The 15759-nt window shown below is 41.4% G+C and overlaps 1 protein-coding gene across 13 annotated transcripts in view; it reads left to right on the top strand.

The window, feature by feature from the left end:
• Positions 1-15759, top strand: part of PLCH1 (phospholipase C eta 1) — a 294138-nt gene that overhangs the window by 27144 nt on the left and 251235 nt on the right. For 12 of the 13 annotated variants that reach the window (XM_017005927.2, XM_047447747.1, XM_047447746.1 and 9 more), the window contains one exon: positions 13664-13782. In XM_017005927.2, the coding sequence (XP_016861416.1) occupies positions 13704-13782 (79 nt within the window). In that variant the 5' untranslated portion in view covers positions 13664-13703. Of the gene's footprint in view, positions 1-12982; positions 13393-13663; positions 13783-15759 lie in introns of those variants that run through there. The other variant, XM_011512561.3, reaches the window with a different exon arrangement.

Genomic DNA, 15759 nt, shown 5'->3' with positions numbered 1-15759 from the left:
TTCACAGCCTGGCCTTGTGGTAGAGAAAGAAAACACTTTTTTTGGGAGAGGAATTCAAGCAGGTTGGGGAGCAACACCTTGCCGGAGATATTTTCATAACTGAAAGGGAGCCAAGTGCTAATTGCCAAGACAAGGGTAGAAGAGCCTTGAAGCATATCAGATATCTAAGACCGCAGCCCCTCTCATCACAGGCCCTGAGACCTAGTAGGACTGAAGAGTTTTGTGGGCCAGGTCCAGGGCCCTGCTGTTCTGTGCAGTCTTGGGACACTGCCCCCTGCATCCCGGCTGCTCCGGCATTAGCCTCTGCTCAAAGAGCCTCAGATACAGCTTGGACTGCTGCTTCAGAGATTTCAAGCCATAAGCTTTGGTGGCTTCCATGTGGAATTAAGCCTGTAGGTGTGCAGAGTGCAAGAGTGAATGAGGCTTGGTAGCCTCCCCCTAGATATCACAGGATTTACAAGAAAGTCTGGATGCCCAGGCAGAAGCCTGCTGCAGGGACAGAGCCCTCACAGAGAACCTCTACTAGGGCAGTATGGAAGGGAAATGTGGGGATGGAGCTTCCACACACTGTCCCCACCAGGGCACTGCCTAGTGGAACTGTGGGAAGGGGGCCAACTGTCTTCCAGACCCCAGAATGGTAAAGCCACAGGCAGCTTGTATACTGCTCCAGGAAAAGCCACAGGCTCCCAGCAACCTGTAACAGCAGCTGCAGAGGCTGAACACTGCAAAGCCATAGAGGCAGTGCTGCCCAAGGTCTTGGGAGCCCACTTCTTGCACCAATGTTCCCTGAATGTGGGTCATGGAGTCAAAGGAAATTACTTTGGAGCTTTAAGATTTGATGACTGCCCTGCTGGGTTTTGAGCTTGCATGGGGCCTGTGGCCCCTTTCTTTTGGTCAATTTCTGCCTTTTGGAACAAGAATGTTTTCTTAATGCTGGTACCACCCCTGTAACTTGGAAGTAGAGAACTTGCTTTGGTTTTACAGGCTCATAGGTGGAAGGAACTCATTTCCAGATGAGACCTTGGACTTCGGACTTTTGACTAGGTTCATGCTGGAATGAGTTAAGACTTTGGGAGACTGTTGGGAAGACATTATTGTATTTTGCAATATAAGGAGGACATGAGATTTGGGGGGCCAAGGGCTGAATGATATAGTTTGAATACATGTCCCGGCCAAATCTCATGTTCACTTGTAATTTGCAGTGTTGGAGTTGGGGCCTGGTGGGAGGTGTTTGGGTCATGGGGAAGGATGACATGGTGCTGTCATGCCTTGGTGCTGTCCTCACGATAGTAAGTGAGTTCTTGTGAGATCTGGTTGTTGCAAAGTGTGGCACCCCCCATCGTATTCTCTTGCTCCTGCTCCTGCCATGTCAGATGCCTGCTCCCACTTTATCTTCCACCATTAGTAAAAGCTTCCTGGGGCCTACCCAGAAGCAGATCTGGTGCCATACTTCCTGTACAGCCTGCAGAACCATGAGCTAATCAAACCTCTTTTCTTATAAATTAGCCAGTCTCAGGTATTTATGCCAATGCAAGAATGGCCTAACACACAAGATTTGAATGAAGTAACTAATAAGTTTGAGCTGATAGACATGAAGATCACACCTCCTAACTTCAGAATACACATTCTTTTCAAACACACTAGAACATTTATGGAAAGTGACCTCAAACTATGTCATCAAGCAAGTTGTAATTATCAAAGGATTAGTGTCATACAGACTAAATCTCTGACCACAGTGGAATTAAACTAGAAACTATAACCAAAAGATTACTATGAATAGTTGTAGAAATGTGTTTCAAAATAATCTTGGGTTTAAAAAGAAGCTGTAATAGTATTCAGAAAATATTTTTAACTGAATGATAACAAAAATACTATGAGTCAAAACTTGGGGGTTGGGGAAGTAGCTAACACATGCTTAACCTTAATTACTTATATTTAAAAAGATGAAAACCTGAAAACAGTTAAACGTTGAAATTAGAAGGTTAGAAAAAGATGCAAAATAGGCCCAAAGAAAACAAATGGAAGGCTAAGTGCAGTGGCTCAGGCCTATAATCCTGGCAGTTTGGGAAGCTGAGGTGGGAGGATTGCTTAGGCCAGGAGTTCTAGACTAGCTTGGGCAACACAGTGAGACCCTGTTTCCACAAAAAATTAGCTGGGCATGGTGGTGTACACCTGTAGTTCTAGTTACTTGGAAGGCTGAGGCATGAGGATCCCTTAATCCTAGGAGGTTGAGGCTGCAGTGAGCCATGATCATGCCACTGCACTCCAGCCTGGACAACAGAGTGTTACTCTGTCTCTTAAAAAAAAAAAAAAAAAAAAAAGAGGCCAGATGTGGTGGCTCATTCCTATAAACATAGCACTTTGGGAGGCTGAGGCAGGCAGATCACTTGAGCTCAGGAGTTCCAGACCAGGCTGGGCAACCTGACGAAATCCTGTCTCTACAAAAAATACAAAAATTAGTTGGGTGTGTTGGCGCATGCCTGTGGTCCCAGCTACTCGGGAGGCTGAGGTGGGACAATCATTGCTTGACCCTGGGAGGCAGAGGTTGCCGTGAGCTGTGATTGTGACACTGCCCACCAGCTTGGATGACAGAGTGAGACTCTGTCTCAAAAAAAAAGAAAGCAGATGGAAGGAAATGATAGTAATAATTCCATGTTATTCAATGGAGATTACTGTAAAAGCTAGCAATATTGACAAATACCTGGTGAGATTGATTTAAAAATAAGAGAGGCACAAATAAGCCATATCAGGATTCAGAGAATAGATGTTGTAGATATTAAAATTATATGAATAATATTATGAACAACTTCATGCTAAAACATTTGAAAGCTTAGAGAAAATGAATAAATATCTAGACAAATATAACTTACCAAAACTGACTTAGAAAAAATAGAAAGCCTGAATAATGCTGTAATTTATAAATAAAATAAACCAGTAGTCAAATATTTCTTCTTAAAGGAAAGTTCAGGCTCAACTGGTTTTACTAGCAACCTAATTCTTCCAGGAAATAGAAACTCATTTTGTAAAGCTATGATAACTTCGATATAAAAGCCTTTTGAGAGCAATATGAGAAATGGAAGTTATAGGCCAGCCTTGCTTGGGAACATACATGTAAAAATCATAAAACATGAGCAATTCAAGTCCAGTAATGCATAAAAAACAGAAGAGGACTCCTTCAAGCTCTGGATACATATTATATACTCTAAACCAGCCCTTTCAAATGCAGCATCCCGGGTGTCTTTGGAGGGTCGATTGCGCCTCATTGCTTAACTAGCTCAGAGCATTTTCAGCTCCTGATTGCATTAGAGAAAAGAAAACACACCAGGAACTTGGGATTTAGTGGTGTCTCCTGTGAGCCTTAAAAAATGAACAAAGTACCCTTTTATTTCTTTCCCTTTGTGTACATAGCTGGGAGGGGGCTAGGCTGTGGAATTAGGCTGTTTGCAGAGGCCTTTAACAACCAGTTTGGTGGTGCTTAGAAACCTGCGGGAAGTAGGGGAGGGGCTGATGGTGGGGAAGGCCATCTGCTGGGTGGCGGGTGACATGGGAGCCCTCTGGACCTGACCCAGGCTTCTGAACTGCTTTAGAAGCTGTCAGTTTGGGGCTGGGCCAGAGAAGAGGATCCCTGGCCCCTCCCACCCCATCCCTGCCCTGTGTAATTCTCTTACTTTGTCTTAAAATTAATGGAGAAATGAGAAAGGAGCAACTTTGTTTGAAATCTTAGTTTTTAACTGGATTTAGTTTCAATTCTCAAGTTTTAGGGATACCTGGGTGCAAAATTCCCAAACATACGTTATGTCAGAGGCCGAAGTACAGGATATAGTTTTGAGACCTGTTTTTCTATGCCTTCCTGTTCCTAAGTGCTTGTTGTTTTATGAATATTACTGTCAGAGCTTATTAATTTTGCCTTTTATCTCTCAGCAAGGCTTAAGAAGAAGGAAATGAGCACTTCTCCATGTAAGTTAAATGCTACACAACTGATACCTGACAGTTCATTTTGTGGTTTTTCAGGGTTATTTTAATTTATAATAAAAGATGAATGGATTGGGATATTAGGGAGGAGTTTTCCATAATCCTTATTAATAGAATATTGAGTATTAAAATTGGAAATACTTTGAAGAACATCTCATTCACTGCCATCCCTTTTTGTGACATAGATGAGGCAGCTGAAGCACAGGGTTGTGAAGAGATTGACCCTGAAACACAGTGTTAGTAAGAGGCAGGATTGGGCTGCAGCTCTGGGTTTTTGACTTCCAGTCAGGTGTTTGTCCATTGTCCCTTGATACCTTACTATGTCCCATGAACTAGTAATTCCTTTTCCACCAAGGAGGCAGGCGTGTGCATTACATTTTAATTTCTGGCCAGATTTTCTTCCCATTCCAACATTCTCCAAATGCTGTTAGCAATTTGGAGAACACACACACCTCTCAGACAGTTTTTACCATGATATCTTGCAAGTAAACTTGGTCTTGGTGTTTCTGAACTTGGTCCAAGTAGCTCACTCAAATTTCATTTCAAAGTAGCCATCCACCATCTTATACCCAAAGGAGTGACACTTTGCTCTGATCATCTCTAATCTATACACTCCAGAGGCTCCTGCTGGAGGGACAAGGTATGCATTTTTTGAATAAGTAATGTTTCATTTAGTTGTCTCCTCCTGTCTCTTCTCCTTGGTTCATAGTAGAGTTGGGGTGAATGGTGGATGTGGGAAGAATTAGAGTCTTGTCTGTCCTGAGTAATTCAACTCTAGGTTCTTTTTATAGGGAAGCGGAATGTCAGGGAGGAACTGGTGCTGGATGTGGAGTGTTGCTCTGGACTGGGGACAGTGGATTTGGAGTCAGGAGATGTGGGTTTGCAACCTGCTGTTTCCATTTAGTCTTATTTGTTAATAATGTGGAACTCACAGGGCTATTGTAAGGGCTTTTTTTTTTTTAAAGACAAGATATAAATGGAAAATTGTGTAAATCATGAAGTGATTTACAAATAATATATTATTAATAAGGAATGTAAAGGGAGTATTGGTTTTTATGGAAAAGGATACTGAAGGAGATTGGGCTCTGGTGGTGATAAAGTAGAGAGAAAGAGGTGGAGACGGCAGTCAGGGTGTAATAGACAAATTCCTCTACTTAGAAAAAAAAAAGGGCCCCTTCTTCCCATAAAGTTATTTATTTATTTATTTATTTATTTAGTGACAGAGTATCGCTGTCCCACCCAGGCTGGAGTGCAATAGTGCCACCTCAGCTTACTGCTACCTCCGTCTCTTCGGTTCAAGAAATTCTCCTGCCTCAGCCTCCCGAGGAGCTGGGATTACAGGCATCTGCTACCTCTCCTGGCTAATTAAAGTTATCTTTTAAAGATTTACCTTTTTTTTTCTTTTTAGCACAGTATTATAATTCTGATTTCCATATATGAACTGGGATAATTTGTCTTTTAAGCCATTCAAGTGGCTTGAACAAATCTGTAGTGTTTCATAAAACTCAGGTTAAAGCAGCAATATAGATTTGCGTCACATTTGAAAATAGCTAAAGGAATTCTAAAGCTGAAGAAAAGGTTTTGTGTTTTGCTTTGCTTAAATACACCTTCAGATAGTCTGGGGGAATCCTTTTCAGCCAGGACAAAGGGCTTGAATGCATCACATCCCTAGGGAAAGCCCAAGAAAGAAAATATTGAGTCATATTTTTGAACTCAGAGAGGACTTGTTAAAAACTTGCCCAAGGTCCCCTGTGAGTTGGTTGTTAGAACTGAAACCAGAATAGAGAGCTCATGATGGCCAGATGGGTCCTCTTTACATTTTGCTATGCTGACGTATTTCATCAGTTGGGACTCTAGGTGCAAGTGACAGAAAACCCAACTCAATGTGGCTTACACAAAACTAAATAAAACAAAAAAGAGAATGTACTGGCTTATTTAATTAAAAGGTGCAAGGACAGATCTAGCTTCAGGTGTGGCAAATGATATTACCACGACTTGGTTTGTTTCCATTTCTCTGGGTTGGATCCAATCTCCACAAATTTTTCCACTATATTGACAGGATGGTGGCCAGGAACTTTAGGTCTTGAAGCTTAGACCTTGCAACTTCAAGTAAAACTGAAAAGGAAGTTTTTTTTCCCCCAAGAGTTCAAACAGAAATCTGTGCCTTACTCTGAGTGATCTGAAACAGGCCGTGTGGATCTCCTATACTGTGGCCTAGTGGATGCAATACTCTGATTTGCAACCTAAGCCACATGCCTACCTGAATCAGAGGATGAAGCTGACAGCACCTGAATCTTTTGAACAGAGAGTGGGAGAAGGATTTTCCCAGAGGAAAACTGGGGTGCTATTTCTAGAGGAGCGAAAAATCAGCAGATGTCCACTGTGGTGGAGTTTTCTTAAAGGGAGCTTTAATTCTAGTAAGTGGGTGTGGGTGTGAAGGATTTTTTTTTTCATTGTCGAGTTTTAAAAGTATTGACAAATGATTATTACTCAAAGTACTTCCCACTTTTCTTAGTTAAAAGTGCCATCCTTGAATTTCTAATATTCTTCATTGGTGGTGTCCCTACTGCCACATATGACTTGTTTGGTATTGACAATTTTGGTCGTGTTAACTACAACTAAAAATGTCAGGAATAAAGAAATTTTACATGATTTTTACATGATTTTACAAGATTACAAAAGTTACTTATCACTTATAAAATGAGCTTAGGAGCATTTTTAACTTTTAAGCTATACTTTTAGTCCATTTGCTGCATGAGTCCTCTACACACTTACATGGCTCTGTTTATTTATTATTTTTGCATTAGGATTTTTTGTGTTTGGTGTCTTTGAGTAGAGTCCATTAAAATTTCTTTTTCAAATCACATTTATGTTCTGTAGAAGTATATTTGTTGATATACCTAGAGGGTTGCAACATATTAGTAGTTATTAAGCAAAAGAAGTAGACTTATAATATCTAATTTGTGTTAAAAAAAAAAAAAAAAAGACCACAGTGCCCATGGTCATTGTCTTTAGGGGATAAGTAATATCACATTGAACATTTTTTTTTTTTAGTTTTTTCTATGCTTTTCAAGTTTGTAAACATGCAGCTATATTTTAAAACTAGTTTTTTTTTTTTTTTGAGACAGAGTTTTTTGCTCTGTTGCCCAGGCTGGAGTATAGTGGCACGATCTCAGCTCACTGCAACCTCTGCCTCCCGGGTTCAAGCCATTCTCCTTCCTCAGCCTCCTGAGTAGCTGCGATTACAGGTGCATGCTAACACGACTGGCTAATTTTTATATTTTTAGTAGAGATGGGGTTTCACCATGTTGACCAGGCTGGTCTCAAACTCCTGACCTCAAGTGATCTGCCCACCTCGGCCTCCCAAAGTGCTGGGATTACAGGCATGGGCCACCGCACCCAGCCATAGAACTAGTTTTAATAACAATCAGTTATTTCCTTATATGGTGTTCCTTATTCACTGTCAATTATGTTTTGAATCATTGTAAGGATTCAGAATCTAATTTTTTTTCATTGATAAGCTGGATTTTATTAAAATTAAAAATTTTTGCTCCACAAAAGACACTGTTAGTGACAAGTCACAGTCTGGGAGAAGATATTTGCAAGAGATGTATCTGATAAAGGACTCTTGTCCAAAATACATTTTTTTAAAACTCTTAAAACTTAGGCCGGGTGCAGTGCTTCATGTCTATAATCCCAGAACTTTGGGAGGCTGAGGTGGGCAGATCACTTGAGGCCAAGAGTTTGAGACCAGCCTGGTCAACATAGTGAAATCCCGTCTCTACTAAAAAAATACAAAAATTCGCCAGGTGTGGTGGCGTGTGCCTGTAGTCCCTGCTAGTCGGGAGGCCGAGGCAGAAGAATTGCTTGAACCTGGGAGACGGAGGCTGCAGTGAGCCAAGATGGCACTAGTGCACCCCAGCCTGGGTGACGGAGTGAGACTGCGTCTCAAAACAAAAATGAAACCAACCAACCAACCAACCAAACACTTCTTAAAGCTTGACAATAAGTAAACAACCTGATTAAAATTTTTAAAAAGGCCAGGAATGATGGCTGGCATCTGTAATCCCAGTACTTTGGGAAGCTGAGGCAGGAAGATCCCTTGAACCCAGAAGTTTGAGACCAGCCTGGGCAACGTAATGGGACCCTGTCTCTGCAAAAAGTCAAAAAATTAGCCAGACATGGTGGTTCACGCTGGTGGTCCCAGCTACTCAGGAGGTTGAGATGGAAGGATTGCTTGAGCCCTGGAGGTCGAGGCTGCAGTTGAGCCTTGATTATGCCACTGTACTTCGGCCTGAGTGACAGAGTGAGACCCTGTCTCAAAATAAATAAATGAATGAATGAATGGATGAATGAATGACACCTCACTGAAGAAGATATACTACTGGCAAACAAGCATATGAAAAGGTGCTTCATATAGATCATTAGCAAAGTAGAAATTAAAACAGCAATGAGTACCACCACACAGCTATTAGAAAGGCCAAAATCCAGAACACTTGTAACACCAAATGCTGGCAAAGATGTAGAGCAACAGGAACTATCATTTATTGCTGGCAGCAATGCAAAATGATACAAAATATCTTATACTTTAGAAGATAGCTTGGCTGTTTCTTACAAACTAAACATACTCTTACCACACAGTCCAGCAGTCACCCTCCTTGGTATTACCCAAATGAGTTAAAAACTTATATCCACACAAAAACTTGCACATGGATGTTTGCAGGATCTGTATTTATAAATTTCAAAATTTGGAAGCAACTAAGATGTTCATCAGTAGCTCAGTGGATAAATAAACTGTGGCACATCCAGACAATGGAATATTATTTAGTGCTAGGATGAAATGAGCTCTCAAGCCATGAAAAGACGTAGAACATTAAATGCATATCACCAAGTGAGAGAAGCCAATTGGAAAAGGCTATGTACTGTGTGATTCCAACCATAAGACATCCCGGAAAAGGCAAAACTATAGAGACAGTAAAAATTATCAGTGCTCGTCAGGGGCTAAGGGGGAGGGAGGGAGAATGCAGAGCATAGCAGACTTTAGGGCAATGAGACTATTTTGTATGGTACCATAATTAATCTGTATGTTTAATAAAGAGCGTAAATCTGCAGGTTCTATTTATAAGATGTAAATGCTTATCGAGTTCTGAATGTGTAACATATTATATTACCTAGACCTCTTAGGAGGTGGAATATTTTGTAAGTCTTAAAAGCAAGTTGAAAAGAAAAAAAAGGTGATCAATTTAAAACCATCCTTGCCTGAATATTGACCAAACAACTTCAAACTGGATACAAGATGCAGGGGAAATACATCTCTAATGTAATATAAATTGTCTAAAAAATAAATGAATGTAGTATACTTCAGTAGTTGTTTTTACCTACTGTGTTCACACAAACGGGGCCATGAAAGACTCAACCTGCTTTGGAACTGCTGAGGCTGGGTTTCCCATCAGTTTATCATCTTCCAGCTAGAGGTGTTATCTTGCAAGCCACACATCCTTTCTGGGCCTCAGTTTCCTTCTGGCTACACCATGAGAGGTTTGTCTTAGTTGAAGTCTAACATCCCTTTCACTTGAATCCCTTTAGTGAGCCCTAGGGCCTGGCTCTTCTGAATCTGGTGGAAGCTAAAATGAGGCTTATCGCACAGCTCTCTTCCCTTGCCCCAGGCCTACTAACTCTATTTATTATCTCCACCTCCATTATCTCTAAATCTGAAGGCCGAAGGGAGAGCATCTTTTCATTAGTCTCCTGCTGATGCCTGAATCCCACCCCTAGAGATTCTGATGTAATTGGCCTGGGTGTAACTTGGGAGTCAGGAGTCTTAAGCTTCCCAGATGATTCTAATGTGTAGTCAAGGTTGAGGCTCACTGATGTAAAGTCTTATCAATGTTCCTAATGCATAGTAGGTTCTCAGTAACTGGGAAACAGGATTATGGGAGTTCAGTGCATGAAAGAATTTTAGGTAAACTGGAGGGAGAGATTCCTGGGGGCATTTCATGAAGGCAGTGGCATGTTACCCAGCCCTTAAAGAAAAGCAAAAAGATCTGGAAGCTGGAAAGCCTGGGCCATTGATGTGAGCTAATGTCCAAGTATGTGAATATTACATATATGTCTGTAGGTTTGTGCTTCTGTCCCGAAAGTGTTGAAGGTCTCAACTCTGATTGGATGATCATCCTCTGAGAGGATGTTACATGTATTATATGTTACATTATCTATTGCTATGTAACAAATTACCCCACATCTTTTGTCTTAAAATAATAATTATCTATTATCTTTCACCGTTTTTTTTTTTGAGATGGAGTTTTGTTCTTGTTGCCCAGGCTGGAGTGCAGTGGCATGGTCTTGGCCATGTGATTCTCCTGCCTCAGCCTCCCGAGTAGCTGGGATTACAGGCGCCCACCCCCACGCCTGGCTAATTTTTCTATTTTTAGTAGAGACGGAGTTTTGCCTTGTTGGCCAGGCTGGTTTTGAACTCTTGACCTCAGGTGACCCACCCACTTTGGCCCCCCAAAGTGTTGGGATTACAGGCGTGAGCCACTGTGCCCGGCCTTGTCTTTCGCTGTTTCTATAGGTCAAAAATACATGTGAGGCACAGAGGGATGGCTTATTTCTTCTCATCAGTATCTGTGGCCTCATCTGAAATACTTGGGGTTAGAATCATCTGTAGATTCATTTATTCTCATGTTGTCTTAGTTCATTTTGGGCTGCTATAACAATGCCATAAACTGGGTAGCTTATAAATAACAGAAATTTATTTCTCACAATTCTGGAGGCTGGGAAGTCTAAGATCAAGGCATTGGCAGATTTGATGTCTTGTGAGGGCCCTTTCCTGGATTGCAGACTGCTGACTTCTTGCTGTGTTCTCATATGGTGGAAGGGTAGGGCTAGCTCTCTAGGGTCTCTTCTATAAGGGACCTAATCCTAATCATAAGGGTGGAGACTAAAGGTCCCACCTCCTAATACTATCACATTGGGGGGCATTAGATTTCACCATAGGAATTTGGGGCAGACACAAACATTCAATATAGCACATGTCTGTGGCTGATGCTGGCTGTTGGGTGAGGGGCTAGCTGGGCCTGTGAGCTAGAACACTTAAATCTGGGCTTCCTTACAGTGTGGTAGCTGGGTTCCAATGCAAGCATCTTGAGAGATAGGGAACCAGGCAGAAGTGGTATCCTTCTTGTGACCTCATCTTGGAAGACTCATAGCATCATTTCCAGCTGATTTTATTGTTAGAAACGAGTCACTGAGTCCAGCCCATACTCAAGGGAAGGTGAATTTAGATTCTACCTTTTGAGGGGAGGAATGTATAATAATTTGCAGATTTTTTTTTTTTTTTTGAGACGGAGTCTTTGTCGCCCAGGCCGGAGTGCAGTGGCAGGATCTCAGCTCACTGCAACCTCCGCCTCCTGGGTTCAAGTGATTCTCCTGCCTCAGCCTCCTGAGTAGATGGGATTATAGGTGTGTGCCACCATGCCCGGCTAATTTTTGTATTTTTAGTAGAGATGGGATTTCACCATGTTGGTCAGGCTGGTCTGGAACTCCTGACCTCGTGATCTGCCCACCTCGGCCTCCCAAAGTGCTGGGATTACAGGTGTGAGCCACCGCACCTGGCCTAATTTTTTGTATTTTTAGTAGAGACACGGTTTCACCAATTGGCCAGGCTGATTTCAAACTCCTGACCTCATGATCCACCCACCTTGGCCTCCCAAAGTGCTGGGATTACAGGCGTGAGCCACTGCACCTGGCCAGCAGATTTTTTTTTTTTTTTTTTTTTTTTTTTGAGATAGAGTCTTGTTCTGTCACCAGGCTGGAGTGCAGTGGCGCTGTCTCACCTCACTGCAACCTCTGCCTCCTGGGTTCAAGTGATTCTCCTGCCTTAGCCTCCCGAATAGCTGGGACTACAGGTGCGTGCCACCATACCCAGCTAATTTTTGTATTTTTAGTAGAGATGGGATTTCACTATGTTGGCCAGGCTGGGCTCGATCTCTGGACCTCGTGATCCATCCGCCTTGGCCTCCCAAAGTGCTGGGATTACAGGCGTGAGCCACTGCGCGCAGCCCAGATTGTATTTTTTAAACGACCTCACTTCATAAAGTCCTAGTTGCTATTATGGCTTGACTTTGGAATATGAAGATATGACTTCAAGTCTCATTACTATTTTTTCCTAGCAGCATTGGGTGAATCAGTTAATCTCTAACACCTTGTCATCTTCTTTAATGTTGTAGAAGGAGAGAAGAGTACTCACCTCAGAAGATTAATAAGGGACAAATGAGCATCATGTATGTGAATATATTTTGCTAACTATAAACAAATGCACATTATTAAAAATAATGAACATATATAACTGCATTATTTGTATAACTAAAAATACTTTCTAAAGAAGAGAACTTTGTAGTATATAGTATTGGCTGGGGAGAGGGCAGAGGTTGGGTTGTTTTCATAATTAGCTATATTCTATTGTATTTTGTAGTCAGTTCCATACAGTAGTAAGACTCCCTCAGCCTTAGGGAGTAGGATAAGCAGTCAGATTAGCCAGGTGGGTATGAGGCAAGAGGAAGTGGCCAGTCCAGCACGGAGCCAGAGAAAAGGCAGGATAGGCAGGAATTAGGTAAAATCCCTGGTGTTGTGGGTTAAGGTTGGGCCATAGGGAGCCAAGGAGAAGCTCTGACAAAAGCTTCAGGAGCCTTCACCAATTGTTCCATTAATGAATAGACAACACTCTGATAATATATATTTTTTTCACTAAGTGACTGATTTTATCCTGGGATACGTTTACAAAATTCTAGGTGGTTTTAGTAGGAGAGATGACAAATTGTTTTCCACCTGTGGGTTTTGCTTCATGCCAGCCTTGCTTGGTTTTGCCTGGCTTTATTCTGTGAACAGAAAGGAGGTTGGAATTCTGAAAAGTTGCTTTAGCCAAATCCTGTGAACAAAGGAGGCCTTGTTCAGGGTTATGCACGTCAGCTTTTGGAGGAATTTAATTCATCGACTCAGATCTCTGCTTTTCAAGTTGTTGCTCTAGCTAGCATTGTGTTTCTCTGTGTCTGTGATGGAGCAAGTCTTATGTAGGAGCAGGCACTGCTAGTTTACCTTGCTGAGGCCTGTGCCCAGCTCTAGTTACATCAATGAGTTCAGCCTGGGCAGATCCAGGCCCTAGCAGTCCTAAATGGACACCAGCAATGAACCAAAAAGAGGGAGGCACATTTTATTAATGTGCTTGGCTCATTCATGGCCACATGGATGCTGTACTGACACAAAATTCAGGAATTGGGAATGATAGCTTCGTTCCTGTTAGTTGCCTCCCCACCTGCAACTGAAATTTCCTGAAATGTTACCAGTGTTGACTAGTTTGGATCTTGGACTACTAGGAGTGAGGCTGGGAGCACATATACTGGTCCTGAAACCTGCTCTCTGATGGTAGGTTTATTTCCCCTGGAGATGGGTAACATTGAGCCCTGAAAGGTGGTTTGAAAAAGTTACTGTTTTGATATGCTAAATGTCATTCTAGACCCTGGGAAGACTTGTGAGAAATTTCTTAGGGCCTGGGGGATTCCAGCTCCATGTGTGGAGAAGTTGTATGCCGTATATGTTGCCCCGTAATGCTGGGCAACCGATGGCATTATGCTACCAGTGTGAGCGTGTGGCTGCCGTTTTCTTCATTTTTGTCTCATTCTGTTTCCCTTGACAGGGCAATTTGGTTTTGATGCTGTGCCAGAAATCTTCTGACAATGAGTTACTGGAACTTGGAAAAAAGGAACTGTGTGCAGTACCGCAGGCATTTTCTGGTGGACAACAGTGTGTTTCATGGTAAGCTGTCTCTTGTATTTATGTAGTTGGATCTTTTATTTTGTTTCTGACAGGACTTTTATTCTAGCACTCTAGATGCAAATATGGTATAATTGTTGGATGGAACCAAGAGCTTGAGTTAACTTGTTTATGAATAATTACCCAAGAAGTCCCATTGCACTTACTATCTCCACTTGTAAGGAATGGGCCCCACCTCAACGACTATAATAGTGTTATCTCTTTCTATTTCGTAGGGTAGTTGGTACCAGTGCCTTTCCTCTTCTACCACACTGTCAACTCCAGTAATATCCCTTTCTGATGTTTGTAATTATTTTGGGTGAGGGCCATATAATTGTTCAGTTAATATTTGTGGATCACCAGTCAATGCTTATTACCAGCATAGCATGGCCTTCCAAATTGAGATGTTAGAGGGTGCTTGTGGCCACCTGCTTTAGACACTTATTGAAGAGAAGTCCACCCACTTTTATTGCTGTCCTTTAGGGCTTTCAGACTTATCTATATATTATGTCCCATATAACAACAGAACAGAAGAGTTTGCAGCACTAAACCGTTACTATCAGGGTGGAGGACTGCAGCTGTGAATCAGAGAGTAATCAATATTAGTCATTTTCATGGCAAACTAAGACAAATTGCCTTTACCCTGCTGGTATCTGTTTGTTTTGTGGTATACAGTCAGGGATAAGCTCTGTCAATCCTGCTGTCAAGATACCCCAGGGTGAAACTGATTTAAAAGCCAAAGACTTATGTGGTGCCAGAATTTTTGGAGTAATCTCTATCAGAGGCCTGTGGAATTGTAGAGGGAACAGAGAGATTTCAGGGGGAGTGGAGTGCTCTTTAACAGAATCCTATAATCTAAGCTGCTTTCACCTTTCTAAGATTGTTCTGAAGTCTTCCCCAATTTGATGACAGACTTAATGTTTATTATTGCTTTAAACTAAGTTTAAGATAACAAATTTAACCTTACTTTATTAAGCACTTTGGTGTTTATAGTGTTTTTTCAACGTTCATTATACAACCTCACTAAAAGCCCTTGTAAAGTAGAGAGTGATTTCATTTTACAGATGAAGAAAGAGAAACAGAGATGAAATAACTGCCCAAGTTGATGTAACTAATTAGGTATTAGCAATGTCAGCATGAAAATTTCTGCCTCCACCTTTCCAGGTTGGTTCTCTTGACATTCCAGTGGTGAAGTGCCCTTAGCAGAGGAGGCGTGGGAATGGCGACTTGACCCTGTGGCACTGAGGTTCTGCGTTGCTTTTCTCTAGCCTCAGCCAAGGGTCCTGTTCATTGCTTTATCTCTCATGCAGTGTTTGATTTATGTATTGTTCTGTTGCAAATTTATTCGTATTAAAAAATAGTAAATATGATAATAGAAAAATCACGGGAGTTAGAAGAACTAGGTTTATTTTTTCAAGCTTTATTTTGTGCCAGTTTTTAAAGAATTTAGATTTAAGTGCCTTAAACTCATTATTATTTTCATTATTTTAGAATGCCTTTATTCAGAGATCTCAAAGGCTATAATCATTTAAAATTTTTTCTATGTATTTTTATAGTCGTATTACCAATTAGTTTATTACTATATTGCAGATACTTATGCTAAGGGCTTGATGACCATTAACATTGTCATACGGAATCCTTTCAAGGACTTTGCTATAGCTATTATTCAACCCATTTTATGAATGGGGTAACTAAAGCTTGTGGAGATTGTAAAATGGTGACCTAAAATTCAAATCCTGATCTGCCTAATTCCAACACCTCACTGTTTTTTCTTCTTTCAGGCTGCCATCTCCGTTTTAATTAAAAAAAAAATTAACATTCTGAGGCTTAAGTTCTATATAACAGTATTTGCTCTGTTGTTGACTAGCAGTGTACGGTCTTGGACAAGTTACGTAATCTTTCAGGAACTCAGTTCTCTTTTCTGTGAAATGAGCATGCTGGTCTCAATGATTTTTGAGGCTGTTTCTAGTTCTAAACTCA

Source organism: Homo sapiens, chromosome 3 (assembly GCF_000001405.40).
Source record: "Homo sapiens chromosome 3, GRCh38.p14 Primary Assembly".
In the NCBI taxonomy this organism is placed as follows: Eukaryota; Metazoa; Chordata; class Mammalia; order Primates; family Hominidae; genus Homo; species Homo sapiens.
This window is presented reverse-complemented; position numbering and strand designations above follow the sequence as displayed.